This window comes from Homo sapiens, chromosome 3 (assembly GCF_000001405.40).
Source record: "Homo sapiens chromosome 3, GRCh38.p14 Primary Assembly".
NCBI lineage: Eukaryota > Metazoa > Chordata > Mammalia > Primates > Hominidae > Homo > Homo sapiens.
This window is the reverse complement of record NC_000003.12, coordinates 153,419,966-153,443,480: the sequence shown is the minus strand read 5'-3', so window position 1 is coordinate 153,443,480 and position 23,515 is coordinate 153,419,966. Positions and strand designations below refer to the sequence as shown.

At 38.0% G+C, this 23,515-nt stretch overlaps 2 long non-coding RNA genes across 2 annotated transcripts in view; one reads left to right on the top strand and one right to left on the bottom strand.

The window, feature by feature from the left end:
- LINC02006 (long intergenic non-protein coding RNA 2006) overlaps positions 1–23,515 on the top strand; it is a 378,977-nt gene that overhangs the window by 319,046 nt on the left and 36,416 nt on the right. The window lies entirely within an intron of this gene.
- LINC02083 (long intergenic non-protein coding RNA 2083) lies at positions 138–10,229 on the bottom strand. The gene is made up of 3 exons (XR_001740977.2): positions 10,143–10,229; positions 2,882–2,998; positions 138–207 (listed from the first exon to the last, which is right to left on the bottom strand). It is a non-coding gene; the product is annotated as a long intergenic non-protein coding RNA 2083 (long non-coding RNA).

The following is a 23,515-nucleotide window of genomic DNA, read 5'->3' as shown; positions in this document are numbered from 1 at the left end:
GATGAGCTAAGCGGTTTTGGTGCAAAATCTCTATAAGATTCCAGTCCAGCTATTGCCTGGGGCCACAGTTATCCTAAGGTTAGGCTAAGAATCCATTTCCAAACTTACTTACATGGCTATTGTTTAGAGGTTTCAATTCTTTGCTGCATGGGCCTCTCTTGTAGTGCTACTCACCATGGCAGGTGGATTCCCCAGAACGATAATGATCTGAGAGAGAGAAACAAAAAGAGAGAGAGAGGGGTAGGGTTAGAAGACAGAAAGGAGAGGAGAGGGAGATCTTTTTGTCTTAGATAGATAGGTAGGTAGATAGACAGACAGATAGATAGATGAGAGAGAGGTGGGGAAATGAACAGAGAGGAAAGGATTAACAAAAATGAAACCTTTCGTTGTTTGTTTGATTTCATGCTTTCTCCTTTGTTCACTCCCAGACCTCTTTACCCTAACAACCATGGCAACAATTCTGTTCTGTTTAATGTATTTTTTGTTGTTTATATATATATCCCTGTGAGTGTGGGATGTGGGTTCACCACATCTTGTCAATCTATGTCCTCAAGTTAATCTCCTCCTCCACAAATATCAATGCAATGAAAATCCTCATATAATCCCTGTGGTCTTATTCTCTCTCTCTCTCTCCCTTTCTCTCTCTCTCTCTCTCCCTTTCTCTCTCTCTCTCTTTCTCTCTCTCTGTCTCTCTCTCTCTCTCATCTGTCCATCTGTCCATAAAAGTGTTGTGCTGGTGGGGAGGGGGATATACCCAGAGGTAGAATTGTTATATGATGGATAGATATAAGCTGAGTCTGTACACTTAGTGCCAAATGTGAAATTGCTCTCCCGAAGGGCCACCCCAGCCTACGCTACCATCAGCAGTGCTTGAGGTTACCAGTTTTTCCTCATTCTTGTCAACACTTGGCATTACTCAGATTTTTGTCAGTCTAACAGCTGCATAATAATGCCTCATTTTAAATGAATTTGCATTCTATGACTCTGAATGATGTTGAGTATCTTTTTACATGTTTATTAGCTTTTAGGATAGTCTAAGCTTTTTTTTTTTTTAGGATACTAAATAACACAAAACTCTGGCAAGATTGATCAAGGTGAAAGAGAGTACACTAAAATAAACAAAATCCAGCTGTAAAATAGATAAAACTACAGGGAGATAAATGCCCAGAAAAATTCTAAAAGTTTTCAGAGAGAGAAATTATTAACAAACAAAAGAAAAAAAAACAAATCAGAATTTCAGATTTCTCATTACCAACACCAGATGCTAGAAGGGAATGTAACAATATATTCAATGCTTTGATGGAACATTACTTTGCATCTAGAATTCTATCCTCAGCCTAATTATCCTAAAATTGTGAAAGTAAAATAAGACATTTTTAGATATGGGAAACCTGAAAAAGTTTACTATTCATATACCTTGTTGGAAAGAATTAATTATGAGTAACTAGATTATAGCTCCCTATAGGTATGTATCTTTCCTGGGGGAGGGAGGAAGGGAAGGAAGAAAAAAAAGGAAAGAAGGAAGGAGGGAGGGAAGGAAGGAAGGAAGGAAGGAAGGGAGGGAGGGAGGGAGGGAAGGAAGGAAGGGAGGGAGGGAGGGAGGGAGGGAGGGAGGGAAGGAAGGAAGGAGTTTCTATGACTTTAGAGCCTATGTAGCAACGTCCTCCACCATAGTTGATTTTACTCCAAATAACTATGTGCTTGATCTCTTAGTGGCAGAGTGGCAACATACTTAAAAGAATGCATGGTGGTGCATTCTTGTAGTCCCAGCTACTTGGGAGGCTGAGGCAGGAGAATTACTTGATCCCAGGAGGCAGAGGCTGCAGTGAGCCAAGATCACATCACTGCACTCCAGCCTGGGGCAGCAGAGCAAAACCCTGTCTCAAAAAAATGAAAAAACAAAAAAGATTTTTCTGCTCTTCTGCTAGTTCTTCCAGAATATGGCATCTGCCTACTTGTTCTCACATCTGTGACCTGCTGAATTAGCACTCCAAAATAGGCCTGCTCTGAGCTGACATCTCACCTAGGATGTTTCATGCAACAGGATATTAATCAATGTTCCTTGGTTTAAAAAAAAAAAGTGTTTTGGGTTTGACAAAGCTGGAGGGACTTCTTTCCCATAGGCTTTCTCAGTCATTGCAATGTTTACCAAATGGATTTGGCTGTGGCACCCTTTAGGGATGGGGAGCATCTTGCAGAATTAGTGCTTTGAAAATCACTTTCGAAAACTCTGTTGCCTTGTTTTAGACTCTTACGATCTATAATGTTCAATATTAAAATATAAAAACAGCATGCTTTGTTCCCTACTCAATGCCTAGTAAACAGGAGACATGCAATAAATATATTTTATTAAGAGAATAAATGAGAGTATCAATTATTGTAAAAAAGTTCTATTATAGAAGGTAGATATTAAATCTATGATAAGCTATTGCTTCTATTTATTGTAGAGTGCGATTTCTACCCAGAATCTAACAGCTTCAAAAAAAAAAAAAAACAAAAATATTAGCTTACTTCTTTTTTGTTTTTTGTTTTTTGTTTTTTTTTTTTGAGACGGAGTCTCTCTCTGTCGCCCAGGCTAGAGTGCAGTGGCGTGATCTCCGCTCACTCCAAGCTCCGCCTCCCGGGTTCACGCCATTCTCCTTCCTCAGCCTCCCGAGTAGCTGGGACTACAGGCGCCCACCACCAAGCCTGGCTAAATTTTTTTGTATTTTTAATAGAGACGGGGTTTCACCATGTTAGCCAGGATGGTCTCGATCTCCTGACCTCGTGATCCGCCTGCCTCGTCCTCCCAAAGTGCTGGGATTACAGCCCAGCCAATATTAGCTTACTTCTAATTGGATAATACACTGCCTATGAAACAAAATTTACTAAAAGCCCCTACTTTTGTAACTTTAGTAAAAATCCTCAGCCGTGTTTGCAGCCTTCTGTGGTAGAATCCAGTAGTGATTGTCCTCCACCAGCTTTAGGCTTATCATCAGTCTGGATCTTCGGGCCTTATCTGCAAAGAAATTCCTATCAGTCTACATTTGTGTTGTGCTTCACTATATGAGTCTCAAATGCATTTATATTTCTTAGTTTGACCTGCCTCAACGTTTAGATTTTATGTTCTTAAGAGGCAGTGTCCATGTCTTCTATTTCTTCTCTCTCTTGAAGTAGTCTTTCTCTCAAGTTTGATGTGATCTTTAAAAACGCTCAGATTTACATTTTTTAATGGATGCAAATAAATATTGTCATTGTCTGTAAAACGGAACAATACAGTCAATAGATTATAATTAAATGGAAGGGATGTTGTGAGATTTGGAGGATGATTACACAAGGACTTGCAATGTCCAGCTGAAAAAATAAAATTCCCTGGTAATGTGACCATCGAAACATCTATTTTGTTTCATAAGAAATGATAATAAAATGGAATTAACCAGGCAATATTTATGAATTTGCTCTCTCTATAATTTCTCTTCGAATGCCCCTTTTTCCAAAATACTGGAAACCTTTGCTTCCCTTATCAGCAGGGGGCAGACAACAAGGTATGACATTCTATGGACCTGACTTCAAGTGTTTTATTCCAGGAGCTTGAGAAAAAGATTTCTTTTCTCCCTTTATTTGTGAAAATGTGCACATTGCTACCCACCTTCTCAGGATGACAATAAACGAAGATTATACAAGATAAATTGTATAAGGTGCATAGCACAGCATGGGTACTCCACAATTACCACTTCTTCCACTTTCCCACATATCCATCTCAATAGCACCTATTCTAACATAACTTCTTGACAAAATGTCTACTATTTTTAAAGCTAACTTTCTTTCCTCTAAAGAAAGCCTTGAATGCATTCATCTTTCTTTTTCCACTTTTTTCTACTATTTGAACTATATTGAGAAAGAAAATTTCTTACATAACATACCTTTGTGTTGTCTATCAGCAGACTTCAACATAAGCCACTTCAACATTGTATTCTACTTTATTTGCAGTTCTAACAATCTCAGTGTTCATAAAGGATCTGGCAACCTAACAATGGAGTTAAAAGTTGGAAATTTGCTATTTTCAAATATTCTTACTTTTCTTCGATCTACGTTTTTAAAAATTATTTTTCTTTATTTTCTTTCTTCATTGAAACAATGGAATGCTCACCAAAGTGTATTTCATCATAGTAAATTAGACTTAGATAAGTAGAAAAAATGCAATTAAGAAAGCTTTCTATTTGCTTCCATTTTAATGAAAGATTGTGAAGTTGACGTGACCTCTTACACAAGTTCAGCTGTGGTGTTTTGAATTACCTAACAAATAAAAAATTCATGGGGGAAAGACTTTCAGCTACACTGTTAGACCTTAGCTACTTTCTTCTCTCTCTTCTGGTAAAAAATTCCTCACACACTTGGCTCTTGTGAATCTGTAAGTGCATGTGAAGAGAGGTTGGGGTGAGTAGGAGGAGCAAGTAGAAGGGATGGAAAGAGATGAGAGAGAAGGGATAAGAGAAAAGATTTTCTGTTCTGAACCACATACATTACTAAAAATGCATTACCCTTTGTACTTGTGAAAGATAGGTTCTTCATGCTTTCCACACCCAAGTTTAGATGGGACAGCTAAATGAAGACATTTTCCTTTAGAAAAGCCACAAATCGTTTTTTGAAGCATGAATTAATAAGGGATTTTGCAACAATATTACTCTGTTACTGTCCAGTTCTCAAAGTGGAAATCTGTAGAATACCAATTCCTTTTTAGTTAGGAAGTAAATGACCACATGAAGTCCCTTTTAAAACATTTCTTCATTGCAAGCATTTTAAATAATTTCTCCAGGAAAGTACTATATTCTGAGTGAATAGCATGACATTATGAACTACATCTAACATAAGATTTTGCTTCAACAGGCCTGTCAGTGCTCTTTAGTTCCACTGTAATGAAATGAAAATCATGGGAGCTTGGAAGAAATATCTTCTTCACCCTGATACTCTTTATTAACTGTGGAATCGTACTGTTTTCTTCACCATGGCAACAAACACACTCAATAGAGTTAGCTCTCACCTTTCCTGCACAGGGTGATGGGGAAAAACGGAAACAAAGAAAAGTGAAGCAAATAAAGATTTCAGAAAGCAAGGAGTTAAGGAAATCATGAACCCAGGGCAGTGTGAGCTCAATGATCAGCATTAAGGGCCTTGTTTCAAACAAATTTTACTAGACTAGGTAACGTGACCTAGAGAAGACTTTCAGTTTATACTTGATTAAATCTCAGAATAGGTGACTTATAATGTCAGCCAGTCAATTGAAAGGTGAACTTAAATGGTCTCATTTTACAGGAAGGTTAATGTCAGTAAAAGGCATAGATTGACCAGTAATCTTGAAATAAGGCTCTGAATTACTCATATACACCATCATTAAAAAGCAAAGAACTTGTTCTTATCAGCACATACAATTCTTTGAATGATTTTGAAGGAATCAAGGCTGATTTGCACTATGAAATATTTTAGCCATATTTTCTTTTTTTCCAGAAAATAGAGCTTAGCTCAAAATGTAACATATTCTATATGCTGCTCAATTTACATTGTTCGAAGTATTCAAGGCCATCCATCTTCCCCTGACATTATGAGGTTTGTAATGGGTTATATTTCTCTAGGACATTCTGGTACATGCAAAACCACCAGAAACAGGGCCAAGTGGTTATTTCCTGTTCTGCAAAAAAGGGAAAAAAAATCAGAGTTTTATTTTGTCACATGAGAAGCAATGCGAGAATTGATAAAAGAAATATCAGCTAAGCAGAAATCAAATCATTGCATTACAGCCAGGAAGCCAAGAAAAAAAAAATGTTTGAATCATGGGATTTGACCTATGTGGGATTTCCAAGATTTAAAAAGGAAAAAGAAAATTAAAAACTCATTTTGGTCATCTATCTTAAATAAAATAAGGTGACAAACTCTACATTTTTTTCTTTACACCTAGTTTTTTAGTATTATGTAGTTTTTAGTATCATGTTTTATTCAAAGCAAATTTGGCACTCATGTTAAGAGAAAAGGTTCAGAATAGTGTATTAGAAATAGAAAAATAATTTGGCAGTACTTCTGGGAAAGATGATGAAGAGAATGCCTATTTAAAAATCACTGCCCTCTTTGAAGCTCAACAAAATTAAGAAAAATAACCACAAATAGCAAAAATATTAAAACAGATCTTAAAACCAGAAAATGGTGCTGATATGATACCACGAATGTCAACATCTAATTATCAGTTACAATATAATTTGGTACAAACTAAATATGCACATTGAATATCAGCACACGGATCCCATAAATGAGAGTCCCAGTGTGGCATTTGGGGAGCTAGTGAAGAAAAGAATACTCAGGGCTACTGCCTGTTGAGTTCTTACTACATGTCAGGACCTAATCTAAGGGTTTTACCTGCATCATTTCAATGACTGTGCTCCATAAGTTGGTGCTATTATAATCTTTGTTTTGCAGATGGAGAAACTAAATTTTGGCCAAAGTCACAAAGCTACACAGCAAGCAACTGGGGGGATCTGGAATTTTAACGCAGGTTTCTTTCAGCTTTAAACTTATCCCTGAGTGATTAAGCTATGGGATGTATGAGGAGGTTCGCTGCTTAGTGGGAGACGAAGTATTTAAACTGCACAGAAACAAACCAAACCATTAATATGGTTATCAGGGAATGAATTGCTGAGCAATTTATGTTTTTTCTTTCAATATATTGATTTTAAAACATCATACAGTGAACCTGCATAACTTCTATAAGTAGAAACACCTGTAATTTATTTTTACATTTTCTACTTAGTGTAAGTTAACAACAAGCTACAGTTAAGCCACTGAGCGCATCCGACACACATCTCAAATTAAAACTATCTCTTATACCTCAGAATTGGCACTGTATAATTATAAGCCACATATCTTCTAAGATTATGTTTTGGAGTGCCCTACTTATCACCCTTAACTTCGAAGGAGAAAGTTGGAAGTTTTGCACGCAATGGAAAAAAGAGTACTCCAACCCCAACGTCTAATGTTACCGGGGACAGGGAGAGATTCAACAACTTGGTGAAGTGTAGAAGCAAAGCTGAGGAGAAAAAGGCAGCTCAAGGGCAATGCTTTTGTTTGTTTCACTAATATCTTTGTCTAGCCAGGAGAGACTAGGCCCAGAAGCAAGTCCAGGCTGTAGAGAGATGCAGAATAATATGCCAGAGCCCACCTTTTAAGTCACAGACCAAAGTGATCTGTGCTGAGAAAATATGAACTGAGCAACCAAGTATCAGACTGCCGACTGATGAGACATCAGAAAGATGTGGTCACTTCTAAAGGTGGCTGGCCTGCCCAGAAAGCCAGAACAGGAGCCAAATTTGAGGGTAGTGCCACGGGTTATATTATATTCTCCAATCTGCTGGAACTGGTCTTGGCAGCAGAGTTTGAGAGATACGGAAAGTACAGGAAGAAGTCACTGGATTTTTGCTGTTAATTAATTCTGATCCAGGTTGACTGGTGCTAGGCATCTTAGGATCTCTTGTTGTAGGTCCCATGAAGCCCAAGCTGGCACCTTATTTAAGAGAAGCACATGAGTAATTTCTGCCCAGAGTCACGGTGCCAATAATTCACATTACTGCCAAGCTCATATCACTCACTGATCCAGGCCTCTATTTTCCCAGTTGTAATTATAAGTTACTTTTAAGCTCCAAGGCCCTTTCCAATTCAAACATTCCGTAAGTCCCTTAGGATTACTAAGGAGTTTATCAGAACCCATGAGCCAACTAGAATCATATCCCCTTCAAGAAAGCCTAAAGATTTGGAGAGTCAGGCCTGTGCTGGAGGAGATATGACAGAGCAGCTTTAAGTTAGATATGTGGCTTATAATTATACAGTGCCAATTCTGAGGTATAAGAGATAGTTTTAATTTGAGATGAGTGTTGGATGCACTCAGTGGCTTAATTGTAGCTTGTTGTTAACTTACACTAAGTAGAAAATGTAAAGATAAATTACAGGTGTTTCTACTTATAGAAGTTACGCAGGTTCGCTGTATGATATTTTAAAATCAATATTTTGAATGAAAAAAATATAAATTGCTCAGCAATTCATTCCCTGATAACCATATTAATGGTTTGGTTTGTTTCTGTGCAGTTTTAATACTTCCTCTCCCATTAACCAGCGAATCTCCTCATTATGGGGATTGTTTCCTTTATCTTAAAATTCCTGAGCTTGGCATAAATAAGTGTCTAATAAATATAGGCTTTCTTCATGTAGCAAAAGTAAATATCGTCCTTTTAAAAGTTTTATCATTTTTCCAACAATTCTTTTTTATCTTGATATAGCTGGTTTTCACCCCAAACCCCATTAAATAAATATAAAAAGTGATATTTTACCTTATGGTTCAGATTTCATTATATATTACATTCTGATTAGAATTATGCTAATTAAATTCTTCTATCAGAGGTAGCAGAGAATCTACCAAAGTGATTATGCCACTAATGTGCATAATATTATATCAATTATTTATATGAACAGAAGATGTTTTTAAGCTGGAGTTAACTGTGCTTGTTTTCAGTAGTTTTAAACATTATATTTATAATGTTATCCACTCTTTCTTTGCAGTTCTTTCTTCATCCATCCAACTTCTAGCCCCACTACAGGTCCATCTTAACACATATTGTGAATGAACTGTATGTGAATTTATTAATATGAATGTCATAGAGGAAGGTGCAAGTATTGCATGCTTTCAATATCTTAGGAGGAGGCTGGTTGAGATGGGATGTATCGTAATTTTTCTCATTAAATTTAATGAGAACATTTATTTTTAATATAATGGCTTTTCATTTAGTGGTGAGTTTTTTCAGGAATGAATTAAGATGGATTAGTGAATTCTCAAATTAATGAATTATATCAAGAGAACGCAGGCCTGAGCTAAGATTTAGGCATGTTGGTACTGAGGAGTTGACTATGCCCAAGCTCTACATACATGTGTTGATTCTCCACATTAGAAGGTCTACCAGGAGGAGGTTGTATGCGGGACTGTTCACTTGCAGGAATAAAGTATAGTGGATGGAGAAGAGCACATGATGAATGGCCCCAGCCTAGGCCTATGAACTTCATCAGAGCTCTTCATTGACAGGAACATAAGTAGAAGCTGAACAACTTTTCTCACGGGGACTTTGAAGCATGTGCTTCTGAGGTATGCATAGAGCGGGGTGATGCCTGTTTCTCCCCACCCTCTTTTTTGTTTTTGGCACCCAGCACCACTCCTGTATTGTAAGAATTCTAGGGCATTGGTGGAGATAAATGGCAGCATCCATGTATGGGCAGGTAGCTTCTGTCGTGGGCCGAATAATGGCCCCCAAAGATTTCCACATCCTAATTCCCAGAACCTGTGAATATATTGCCTTACAGGGTAAGGGGACCTGGCAGGTATGATTTACTAATAGCTCAGGATCTTGAGGTAGGGAGATTACCCAAGATTTTCCAAGAGGGTCCAGTTTAATTATAAGAATCCTTGTAAGAAGGAGGATGAAGTGTTAAGAGTCAGAAAAAGATGTGGCCATGGGGAAATGGAAGCAGAGCTTGGAGTGATGCACTTTGAAAATGGAAGATGGGTCCAGGAGCCGAGAAATGCAGGCAACCTCTAGAAGCTGTAAAAGGCAAGGAAGTAGATTCTCCCCTTAATCCCCTAGAAGGAACGCAGCTCCGCCAACATATTGATTTTAGCCCCATAAGACCCATTTTACACTTCTGACCTCCAGAAATATAAGATAATGATTTTCTATTATTTTAAACCATAAACTTTGTGATAATTCGTTATGGTAGCAATAGGAAACTGATACTACTTGTGACAACAGACACACATCAGTGGTTGTCAGCAGAGACAGAAGTACTCAGTGGAGACCTGGTGAGAAAGCGGCAGTGCCCTGCAGGAGAGCTCATATGGGACATACTCCAGGGACAACTGAAAAGTCTTGGGAGAGGGAATTTTGAAGGGGCCTGATAGCTTCTGTCGCAGTTGGAGTTAGTAAGCCATCAAGACTGGAATGTTATTAATATTCCAGCTTTATTTGTAACCACAGACCAATGAAGCCTGGGGATATTCCAGTAACAGAATACCTCAAACAGGCTTGACTTGCAAATAAACTTACTCAAGTCTTTCACCAGCTTCAGTTTGAAAATCTTACCTGTCATTGACGGAAACAGGGTATCATCATTGAAGCCTTCTACTCCTTTCTCTCCACCCTATGATTTATCTGCCATCCAGAGTTATTCACTGGTCCTATAGTGAAAATGAGGCCTGAAAAGCTCAAGCACAGACAAAACCAACACCTCACTCGAAGGAAAGCAAGCTGGTTTTCTGATGCTATTGCTTGTTTGAGGAGGTGTTGCATAACCAAAGAGATACGAGTGGAGGGTCTGAAACCATGGGGCACTCATTCTACATGAGAACTGCATATCTGGCAATCGGACTCAGTTACATGGATTTAGGGAGTCATGGGGGTAAGAGGGGGAGCATGGCCCTGTGTTGTCACTGATATGTTATAACTCTGGCTTCCAATGGTAACATCAACTGGGAAAAGGTTAGAAAACTATAGCATCTTCCCATGTGAACTACCTATGACTCAGTGATCTCTATAATACCTTATTACTATAAACAGACATGCCATAATTTGCAAGGGATAAAATTATACTCATGAGTGCAACAGCTCTTTTAAATTCCATTGCAAACCCCCTCACTACTCCATAATAGTTATTTGTAATTTAATGAACATTACCACTGTGTAGAGAAAATAACTTGAATTACTAGTTGCACTTTATTTCTTGTGAATTCCCAGGCCAGATTAACCCATATATTTGCTGTCACTTGATACTAATGACATTTATAAACCAAAAATAAAACAATATTAAGAATATTTAGAAAAAAATTTCATGTTAGTCATGCAAACCATTTTATATTCAATTACAATACAACTGCCTTATGTATGTTTATTATGCAGCTCATTTTAATAACACACAAAAACAATCAAAGATTGTATTACTGTGCTATAATTATTTCCCATTTGGTCTAGGAGTTCCTAAAATAAAAATTTCCAGATTAAAATGAATTCTATGTTTCTTAAAAGGCTAAATTTTAAGCTCAAATTTTTGTATAAAGATGTATGGACTGGCCTCAATATGGGAACCTATAATGTCAAATGAGGACCAATTAAGTAAACTGGTGATTCTGACTGAATCTTAGTCATGTTCTTATTGTTCTCTTGACACCACAAATACCTGCTACATCAGAGCTGCGTTAGATGCGAAAGCAAGTATGCAGGTAAGTAGCTACAAGTATATTAATACCCTTGTAACTACTGGTAAGGTCATGGAGCTGTAAAGGCTGAGCTGGGAGCGGTAATTAATTTCATGTAGACAATATCCCCAGACACATCTGTAAAGTAGGTACAGATTTCTCTCCTTTTTCTCCCTGAGTGGTGCCCCAATCAGGTTTTTGACGTCTTTCCCTTTACCCCACAGATAGTAATACCTCTCTTTGCTCCGTGATGCTCCTGGAGCCCCAGCTGGCTTTTCTCATAAGTCCACTCTATGTAGTTCCCACCATGAGATCCATGAGCCACGTCAGTCCAGTACCACATTGGCTAGCACATTCTAGGCTTAATATGTGCCTGTTGAATGAATGAATAAAAGATTGAACAAATAGATGGATACATAATAAATAAAATAATAAATAGGCTACCTTCCCAAACATCGTTTCATACTTGGGATCCTTTTCAATTCTGACTTTTCTCTCTTGCTTCAGTATTCAACATTACTCTACTCCCCATCCACCCCCAATTATACCATAGCTAAAAATATGTGTGTGTATTACATGTATAAATATACACATATACCATATATTAGTCGCTTAAGAGTCTATGAGAATGCTGCTACCTCCTTTCATGGGAGACAGGAAGGCACTGCGGTATGATGGAACATAATCTTGGTCATCAGACAGCCTTGAGTTTGAATCTCTGCTATGTCTCTAATCTGTAACATGGGCAAGTTATTTAACATCTCAGTGTCTCAACTTTCTCATCTGTAAAATGAGACTATTAATATATAACTTCCAGAAGGTATTATCAAGACCTTATTTATAGATCAATCCTAAATCTAGCAGTTAATCCTCCTGTCAAAGGAGCAGGTTTATAAGTTCCTCCCAAAGTCAAGGAGGAACTAAAATGCAGAACATAGATATTTCTAGAGCAATGACTTACTGAAAGCAGGCATTTAGTAGAGAATATTGAAGGAAGCTTAATGTCGTTATTATAATTGCTAAACAACTGATGGCAGAGGCTGGGAATCATGTCCTGTTAGTAATGAAAGTTTTGATCTAATCAAAAAATTCATGGGCAGAACAAAAATGTAGCACCAAAATTTCAGTACAGCCTAAACAACACAATCAGTAAAATTCTGACAGAAGTAGAAGATAGTTTCTTAATCCTATTTGGTAAAGATTTTTTTTTCTTTTTATCAATTTCTAATCTTTTTATCAATATTAATTATGAACGCATTTGTATAACAAATATTAAAGTACTAGTTAATACTTTTATTTCCTGAATTGCTACTCCATAAGAAGTCATGAAAATTCCTCTGGATTAGTTATTTCAAACAAGTTTTGGTTTGGCCCAAATCTGTAAAAATAAGATTTCTCCGGCCAGGCGCGGTGGCTCACGCCTGTAATCCCAGCACTTTGGGAGGCCGAGGTGGGTGAATCACAAGGTCAGGAGATCGAGATCATCCTGGCTAACATGGTGAAACCCCGTCTCTACTAAAAAAAATACAAAAAAAATTGGCCGGGCGTGGTGGCAGGCGCCTGTAGTCCCAGCTACTCGGGAGGCTGAGGCAGGAGAATGGCCTGAACCCGGGAGGCGGAGCTTACATTGAGCCGAGATCGCGCCACTGCACTCCAGCCTGGGTGACAAAGCGAGACTCCGTCTCAAAAAATAAATAAATAAATAAATAAGATTTCTCTTCTAAAAGTCTCTTATTTGATTGTAGCTCTATTATCTCCAGACATGTTAGCCATTCCCATGCGCAAAGAAGGCTTTTTATGTCTTTACACAGAGAATTTATCTTTTGTCAAAATTACTTTCTGACCTAAAAGTCAGGGAAAGGGGCTTTTTTTTCACTAACTAACTCTATATTCAAATGAGGTTCTAGAAACCTCATTCTAACCTTATCCTTCCAAATTTGTGAATCAATACTCAAGTTATTGAGAACATGGAAAGGAACCGCCAGTTTTCCACAGTTTCACTTACTTGGATAGTCAGTCAAATTATAATAACAATTCTCTGCAGGAAATGATTTTGCCCCACAAGGGATTTGACAACATTTGGAGGCATTATCTGTCATAACTGGCGAGTTGTTACTGGTGTCTAGTTGGTAGAGGCCAGGGATGGTGATAAACAGCCTACAATGCACGCAGTAATTCCTCATAACAAAGCATTATCTGGTCCAAAATGTCAACGGTGCTAATTTGGGAAATCCTGTTACAGTGACACATAGTTTCCATGTGAGGCAAACACATCATAATGCGGTGCTTAAGAGTGTGACTTTACTACCCCCAGTAGGAATGTCACATGTATTATATTATAGGAATCCTCAAAAACTAGATAGTTCTCAAGTTTCTTCAGAGTTAGAAACTTGCATAAAATGAATATTATTCTAGGGCAACATAATTTTGAAATAAGCTTTAAAACATTTTCAAACAAATATTACATTGGAATGTTTTTATAATTTTCTGAAAACTGGATCTCAAGATCTAGTACGCAATCCTACCTTGCAAAGAGATTGCCGTGTAACCTTAAGAAAGTCCCTTAACATCTAGGAGTTTCAAGATATGCAATTACATATCTGCCTACCTCATTGAGGTTTTAAGAAAGAAGAGTTAAATTGTGTCTGTAAATCACTTATGGAAGTGTAAAATAAAAGTAAGGTATCATAACTTTTATGAATAGTTCCTTTAGAACTGTGAAGCAACTGATTTTATGACATTTTGCTTTGGTTTGATGAAGAATTATGTCAAATTTTCAGATAATTTAAAAGCCCTGGCCAGGGCAATGGCTCACGCCTGTAATCCCAGCACCAGCACTTACCCAGTAGTGGCAATGTGATTAGAGTATAAAACCTCCTGGCCTCCTTAATGGGTACGTGTACTACTGATTAGCCAAAAAATAAGATTAACTTTTGTTGTTAGAACCATCAGTGGCTATACTCTCGGGTGAGCCAAATCATTGTCAGTTAAGAGAGCAACACCAGAGCACAATATAAATTATGAACACATTAAGATGACATAGATGAAAGATAGATAGATAATAGATATGATTGATAGATAGATCTGATAGATAGATAATAGCTAGATAGATCAATAGAAAATTAACAGAAAATGATCAAGAGAAATTTATTTTTTGATATTCTTCTAACCAATTAAATGAGTTTGTGTGTGTGTGTGTGTGTGTGTGTGTGTGTGTGTGTGTGTGTGTGTATGGATGGATGGAAAAAATTTAGTACACTGCAAAATATTTAAAAATACTTTATTAGAATAAGTAGGAGACAGGAAGAGGAAGCACTGAACATAAGGAACCAAAAATTTGGAAATTTAATCTTCTTCTTAATATGAAGCAACAAATAAATAAAAAGGGAATCAAAATATATTTTATATATGTGGAAGTCAGACATTTACTGAGTAATGTCTCAAAAAAGGAATGAATGATGAAAACAACAAAAGCCAAAAGTAAACTAGAGAGCTTCTGCACAGCAAAAGAAACTAGCATCAGAGTGAACAGACAACCTACAGAATGGGAGAAAATTTTTGCAATCTGCCCATCTGACAAAGGTCTAATATCCAGAATCTACAAGGAACTTAAACAAATTTACAAGAAAAGAACAACCCAATGAAAAAGTGGGCAAAGGAAGACATCTATGTGGCCAACAAACATGAAAAAAAGCTCATCATCACTGATCCTTAGAGAAATGCAAATCAAAACCACAATGCCATAATATCTCATGCCAGCCAGAATGGTGATCATTTAAAAGTCAGGAAACAATAGATTCTGACGAGGCTGTGGAGAAAGAAATAGGGATGCTTTTACACTGTTGGTGTGAATGTCAATTAGTTCAACCATTGTGGAAGACAGTGTGGTGATTCCTCAAGGGTCTAGAACCGGAAATATCATTTGACCCAGAAATCCCATTACTGTCGAGAAAGCCACTTAACAGTATATCCCTTTGGTATATACCAAAAGAAATATAAATCATTCTACTATAAAGACACAGGTACATATATGTTTATTGCAGCACTATTCACAATAGCAAAGATTTGGAACCAACCCAAATGCCCATCAATGATAGACTGGATAAAGAAAATGTGGTACCTATATACATGGAATACTATGCAGCCATAAAAAATGAATTCATGTCCTTTGGAGCGACATGGTTGAAGCTGGAAGCCAATCATCCTCAGCAAACTAACACAGGAACAGAAAACCAAGTGCCACATATTCTCACGTATAAGTGGGAGTTGAACAATGAGAACACATGGACACAGGGAGGCAAATAACACATACAAGAGCCTGTCAGGGTGTGGGGGGCAAGGGGAAGGAGAGCATTAGGACAAATAACCTAATGGATGTGGGGCTTAAAACCTAGATGATAGGTTGATAGGTGCAGGAAACCACCATGGCAAATGTATACCTATGTAACAAATCTGCACGTTCTGCACATGTATCCTGGAACTTAAAGTAAAATTTTTTTAAAAATGAACAAATAGAAAAGTAAAAGTAAATAAATAAATAAAATCCTGTAATTTTAAAATAATATTATTATCTAAATTCGGAAGACAGATGTTTCCCCTTTATTTTTATAAATATTAGCCAAGGTAGTTGATAATTGGTTCAAGTTCTGTATTTATTTACTAATTTATTTTTGTCTAGCTGGTCTTTTAATTGCTGAGAGATATATACAAAAATCTCCAAGTTTTAGAGAAATTGTGTATTTCTCCCTTTAAATATGTCAGCTTTTTAAAAAGTATTATTGTGGTAAAAATACTTAACATGAGATTTTCTCTTTTAATAGATTTTAAATTGTACAATACAGTACTTTATCAATAGGAATAATATTGTACAGAAGATCTCCAGAAATTATTAATTTTCCATAACTAAGATTTTATACATGTTGGTTAGCAACTCAGTTTCCTCCAGCCCTAATCCCTGGAAACCACAATTTTATGATTTGCTTCCATGAGCTTGGCTATTTTAGATATCTTTTATAAGTGGAACATGCAGTACTTGTCCTTCTGTGACTAGCTTATTTCACTTAGCATAATGTTTTCAAGGTTTATCTATGTCATTGCATTCTGCAGGATTTTTCTTTTTAAAGGCTGAATCATATTCCATTGTGTATATACAGCCGTGTATCACATAACAATAGGAATACATCCTGAGAACTATGTCCTTAGGCAATTGTGTCACTGTGCAAGCATGACAGAGTACACTTACACAAACCTAGGTGATATAGTCTACTACACACCTAGGCAATGTGGTATAGCCTATGACTCCTAGGCTACAACCCTGTACAGCAGGTTACTGTACTGATACAGTAGGTAACTGTAGGCAATTGTGGCAATTATAGGCAATTGTGGCACAGTGGTAAGTATTTGAGCACCTAAACATATCTAAACATAGAAAAAAGTGCAGTAAAAATACAGTACAAAAGATTAAAAATGGTAACTGGTATAGTGGACTCACTATGAATGGAGGATGCAGGACTGAAAGTTGCCCTAGGTGTCAGTGACTGACTGGTGAGTGAATGTGAAGGCCCAGGACATTACCATACACTACTGTATAAAATCATATACTTAAGCTACACCAAATTTACCTAAAAATTAAGTAATTGCGCTATGACATTATGATGTTACAATGGCTACAAGGCCTATGATGTCATCAAGTGATAGGAATTTTTTGTTGTAGTCTTATAGGACCACTGTCATACATGCAGTTTGGAGTTGACCAAAAAGTCATTATATGGCATGTGATTGTATACTACGTCGTTAAAAATCCATTCGTCCATCAATGGGCATCTCTCCACTCCCTGCTGTTTTTCCCAGCCTCTGGTAATCATCATTCTCTCTATCTCCATGAGTTATTTGTTTTAATTTTTAGTTCCCACATATGAGTGAGAACATGTGAAAATGTTCTTTCTGTGCCTGTCTCATTTCACTTAACATAATGTCCTCCAGTTCCATTCGTGTTGTTGCAACTGACAGAATTCCATTCTTTTTAGGTCTAAATAACATTTCTTTGTGTATATGTACCACATTTTATTAATCCTTTCATTTGTTGATAGATAGACACTTAGGTGGATTTCAAATCTCGTACATACATTGATTTTCTATCCTGAGACTGATGAAGCTGTTTATCAGCTTAAGGAGCTTTTGGGCCAAGACTATGGGGTTTTCTGGATAAAGGATTATGTCATCTGCAAACAGGGATAGTTTGACTTTCTCTCTTCCTATTTGGATGCCCTTTATTTGCCTGATTGCTCTGGCCAGGACTTCCAATTCTATGTTGAATAGAAGTGGTGAGAGAAGACATCCTTGTTTTGTGCTGGTTTTCAAGCGGAATGTTTCCAGGTTTTGCCCATTTAGTATGATGTTGGCCATGGGTTTGTCATAGATGGCTCTTATTATTTTGAGGTATGTCCCTTGAATACCTAGTTTATTGAGAGTTTTTAACATGAAAGGGTATTGAATTTTATCAAAAGCCTTTTCTGAATGTATTGAGATAATCAGGTGGTATTTGTCTTTAGTTCTGTTTATGTGATGAATCACATTGATTGATTTGCATATGTGGAACCAATCTTACATCCCAGGGGATAAAGCCTACTTGATTGTGATGAATAAGATTTCTAATGTGCTGCTGGATTCAGTTTGCCAATACTTTGTTGGAGATTTTTGCATCAATGTTCACCAAGGATATTGGCCTAAAGTTTTCTCTTTTTTTGTTGTGCCTCTGACAGGTTTTTGTACAGGATGAGGCTGGCCTCATAGCATGAGATAGAGAAGAATCGCTCCTCATTTTTTGGAGGGATAGGTTCAGTAGAAATGGTACCAGCTTCTCTTTGTACAAATGGAAGAATTTTGTTGTGAATCTGTCTGGTCCTGGGCTTTTTTTGGTTGGTAGGCTATTTATTACTGATTCAATTTTGGAGGTCATTATTGGTCTGTGAAGGGATTCTATTTCTTTCTGGTTCAGTCTTGGGAGGGTGTATATGTCCAAGAATTTATTCATTTCTTCTAGACTTCCTAGTATTTGTGTATAGGGGTGTTCATAATATTCTCTGTTGTTTGTACCTCTGTGGGGTCAGTGATAATATCCACTTTATCATTTCTAATTTTGTTAAATTGGACCTTTTCATCTTTATTAATCTATCTAGACGTCTATCTATTTTACACATTTTTTGAAAACCCAATTCTTATATTCACTGATCTTTTGAATAGTTTTTCTGTGTGTCTCAGTCTCCTTCAGTTCAGCTCTGATTTTGGTTATTTCTTATCTTCTGCTACCTTTGGGGTTGGTTGTGATGTTAGGTTGCTAAATTGAAATCTCTCTAACTTTTTGATGTAGGCCTTCAGTACTATAACTTTCCCTCTTAACACTGCCTTAACTGTGTCCCACAGACTATGTTATGTTGTATCTTTGTTCCCATGAGTTTCAAAGAACTTCTTGATTTCTGCCTTAATTCCATTATTAATTCAAAAGTCATTTAGGAGCAGGTTATTCAATTTCCATATAATTGTATGATTTTGAGTAAATATCTTAGTCTTAATTTCTAATTTGATTGTACTGCAATTTAAGAGAGTTGTTATTATGATTTCAGTTCTTTTGCATTTGCTGAGGAGTGTTTTGTGTCTGATTATGTGGTTAATTTTAGAGTATGTGTCATGTAGTGGTAAGAAAAACGTATATTCTGTTACTTTTGCGTGGAGAGTTTTGTGGATGTTGATTAGGTCCATCCAGTGGCGAGTTCATGTCCTGACTATCTTTGTTAATTTTCTGCCTTGAAGGTCTGTCTAATACTGTCAGTTGGGTGTTACAGCCTCCCATTATTAATGTGTGGAAGTCTAAATCTCTTTGAAGGTCTTTAAGAACTTGCTTTACGGATCTGGCTCCTCCTGTGTTTAGTGCATATATATTTAGAATAGTTAAGCCTTCTTGCTGCATTGAACCTTTTACCATTATGTAATGCCCTTCTTTGTCTTTTTTTAATCTTTGTTGGTTTAAAGTCTCTTTTGTCTGAAATTAGGATTTCAACCCCTGCTTTTTTCTGTTTTCCATTTGCTTGGTAAATTTTTCTCCAACTCTTTATTTTGAGCCTATGCATGTCATTGCATGTGAGATGGGTCTCTTGAAGACAGCATACCACTGGGTCTTGGTTCTTTATTCATCTTACCACTTTGTGCCTTTTAATTGGGGCATTTAGCCCATTTACATTCAAGGTTAGTATTGACATGTGTGGATTTGATCCTGTAATCATGATGTTACCTGGTTATTATGCAGACTTGTTTGTTGTGCTTTATAGTGTCACTGGTCCATGTACTTAGTTGTGTTTTTGTAGTGGCTGGTAATGGTCTTACCTTTCCATAGTTAGTGTTTCCTTCAGGAGCTCTTGTAAGGCAGGTCTAGAGGTAACAAATTTCCTTAGCATTATCTTGTCTGAAAAGGATCTTATCTCTCCTTCACTTATGAAGCTTAGTTTGGCTGGATATGAAATTTGGGGTTGGAATTCCATTTCTTTAAGAATGTTGAATATTGGCCCCCAATCTCTTCTGGCTTATAGGGTTTCTGCTGAAAGGTCCACTGTTAGTCTTATGGGTTTCCCGTTGTAGGTTAACTGACTGTTCTCTCTAGCTGCCTTTAACATTTTTTCTTTCATTTTGACCTTGGAGAGTCTGATGATTATGCATCTTGGGAATGATCTTCTTGTGCTGTATCTTACTGGGCTTCTCTGTAGGCCCATTCTAATTTCCTGAATTAGATTGTTGGCCTCCATAGCTTGATTGGGAAAGTTCTCATGAGTAATATACTTTTTCAAAGTGCTTACTCTCTCCCCATCTCTTTCGGGGCCATCAATGAGTTGTAGATTCAGTCTCTTTATGTCATCCCATATTTCTTGGAAGTTTTGTTCATTCATTTTCATTTTCTTCTCTATTCTTGACTGACTGTCTTATTTCAGAAAGCCAGTCTTCAAGCTCTGAGATTATTTCCTCAACTTTATCTGTTCTGCTATTAATTCTTTGATTCCATTATGAAACTCTTGTAGTGTGCTTTTCAGCTCTATCAATCAGGTCAGTTACATTCTTTTCTATACTGGTTGTTTGTTTGCCTGTCAGCTCCTGTATCATTTTAATGTGATTCTTTGTTTCCTTGTATTGGGTTTCAACATATTCCTGCATCTCAATGATCTTCAGTCCTATCCATATTCTGAATTCTGTTTCTGTCATTTCAACCATTTCAGCCCAGTTCAGATCCCATGCTGTAGAGGTGGTATGGAACTTTGGAGGGAAGAAGGCACTCTGGTTTTTTAAGTTGTCAAAGTATTTGAATTGGTTCTTTCTCATCTTTGTGGGCTGATGTTTCTTCAATCTTTGAAGCTGCTGACCTTTGGGTGTTTTTTCCTTTCCTATTTGATGACCTTGAAAATTTGATTGTGATATAAGGTGGAATCAGCCAACTGGCTTCATTTCTGGAAGACTGTAGGGGAGCAATGCTTAGCTCCAAACTCCTGGACTGTGTACTCTTAACTCTGGGGAACTTATATCAGGCCCTGACTTTGTTCTCTGGCTCCTCGAGATCACGAGTCCACTGCACTGGAGGTGGGAAAGGTGCTTCCCAGACCACTGGTCACTACACTCTGATGGGTGGTGTCAGCCAATGCATTTCACAGTGCAGTGTCAATGGGATCTGTCCTTTTTGTACATGTCAGCTGCAGTGGCTGTGGCAGCACAGAAGGCTGAACGCTCTTTGGCTGCAACAGGATGCTGGTGGGTGCTGGAGTGCCTGCCTCTATGTGGACATTCACCATGATGGCAGAGGCAGCACAACTCGTGAGCAGTCTGCACTTGGGCACAGGTCTGTGTGCATTCTCTGTGCACTGAAAGCTGGGGTGGTCACTTAGGGAGCTGGAAAGTCCACTGTTCTCTGTGCCTAATTTTACTCCCATGGCATTGTTGGTATAAGGGCAGGGTGTGGGAGGGGGTAGGATTGACCTGCTCTGTGCCTGCCAAGGCTTTGATTACAATGGAGGTCCAGTGGTAGAGGTGTGTGGAATGTACTCTTGCCACAGCAGCAATAGGGCAGGGTGCACACACACACACACACGTTCACAAGCAAGGCAAGGAAGAGAAAGGCCTGCCCATGCACACACACACCAGCAACACAATGTGGGGGTTGCCATGGGCCTAGGGGAAGCTACAGTGTGAAGAAAGAGCAGGCTGGCTGGTATGTGGCCATAAGGGCCACCCTACTGGAGCTCCCACTGGTAAGGCACTGTCAGCCAGCACAGGAGCTACAGTGCAGTCCCCAAGGGCACTACCTGAGGCTGCCCTGCAAGCAGGTGCTGCCTGTTGGCCATTTGATTGTCTTTTTTGTTTTTTCGCTTTTTTTTAAAGACAAGGTCTCACTCTGTCACCCAGGCTGGAGTGTAGTGGTGTAATTGTGGCTCACAGCAACCTTGCCCTCTTGGACTCAGGTGATCTTCCCACCTCAGCCTCCCAAGAAGCTGAGACCTCAGGTACATGCCATTACACCCAGCTAATTTTTGTATTTTTTATAGAGACAGGGCCTCACTATGTTGCTCAGGCTGGCCTCAAACTCCTGAGTTCAAGTGATTCTCCTGCCTCCACCCCCCAAAGTGTTGGGGTTGCAGGCATGAGCCACCACACTCAGCCTTGAATGTCTTAACAGATGATATATGGTTTGCAAGTATTTTTTTCCATTCTGTAGATTGCCATATTTACTCTACTGGTTGGTTCTTTTGCTGTGTAGAAGCTGTTTAGTTTAACGAAGTCTCACTTGTTTATTTTTGCTTTGATTTAAAAAAAACTGATGATAGAAAACACAAACAAACAAACAAATGGAAAGCTATCCTGTATTCATAAATTATAAAACTTAACTTAATATTGTTAAAATCTCCATACAACCCAAAGCAATCTACAGACATAATGTAATTTTTCTCAAAATCCCAATGGTATTTCTCCTAGATACAGAAAAAAAATTCTAAAAGTTACATGGAACCACAAAAGTTCCTGAATAGCCAAAACAATCTTGAAAAAAAAGCTGAAGACATCACACTTCCTGATTTTAATATATATTACAAAGCTACAGTAATTAAAACAGTATGGTATGGCATACAGATAGACATTTAGATAAATGGAACAGAAAAGAACTCTGAAATAAATCCACACATATATACAGTTGACTCTTCAAGAATATGGTGGTTAGGGGTGACAACTTCCCACACAATGAAAACGTAAAACTTCTGACTCCCAAAAACTACTAATAACCTACTGTTGGCCCTACAAATAATATAAACAGTCAATTATTACATATTTCTTATGTTATATATATTATATGCTGCATTCTTTCCATACAGAAAGCTACAGAAAAGAAAATATTATTAAGAAAATCATAAGAAATAGCATATATATTTAGTATTTAGTAAGTAGAAGTGGATCATCATAAAGATCTTCATCCTTATCATCTTCATCATCTTCATGTTGAATAGGCTGGGGAGGAAGAGAAGAAAGAGGAGAATTGGTCTTACTGTCTCAGGGACAGCAGAGGTGGAAGAAAATTTGCATGTAAGTGGACCCTGGGCAGTTCGAACCCATGTTCTTCAAGTGTCTACTGCAGTCAACTGATCTTTTACAAAGGTTCCAAAAATACACAATGAAGAAAGGAGGACACTCTGAACAGATCTTTGGAAATAAGGCATTGAAAGCGGACAGGATGATGCAGACCCCAGGCTGAAAGTGGAGGATACTGTGCCAGAACTGCTCCTGGCTTGGGCAGCTCCTAGGAAACTGGTGAGTAATATAGGCATGAAGTGGCCTACTTCTGCCACAGACCTCTGGGATACTAGCTGTGGGATACTTCACGAGCCCCAGGGACGTCTGAGCTGGCAGAGAGAACTTCCCAGAGAGTTAGTAGAGACAGATCTCCAGTCTGTGTGGAGCCCAGAAGGTTTGGCATGGGAACAGCTGCAATGGGGCACATCCATGGATGCCTATTCCACAAAGCTCACCATATACCTCTAGTCAGCTTTAGCCTTCGTTTGCTGCTAGACAAACGACAGAGCAGGGCAGTCTTACCTGTAGGATGGGGCCAGTCAGATCTGAGTGCCTCCTGTCTGCCAGCCTCTTCCAGGGCCACTGCCTGGCCATACTCTTTTGTAGTACAGCCTCAGCTCGCTAGTGGCCATTGTCATATCTTTTGCCGGCAGACCTTGCCAGCATACATGC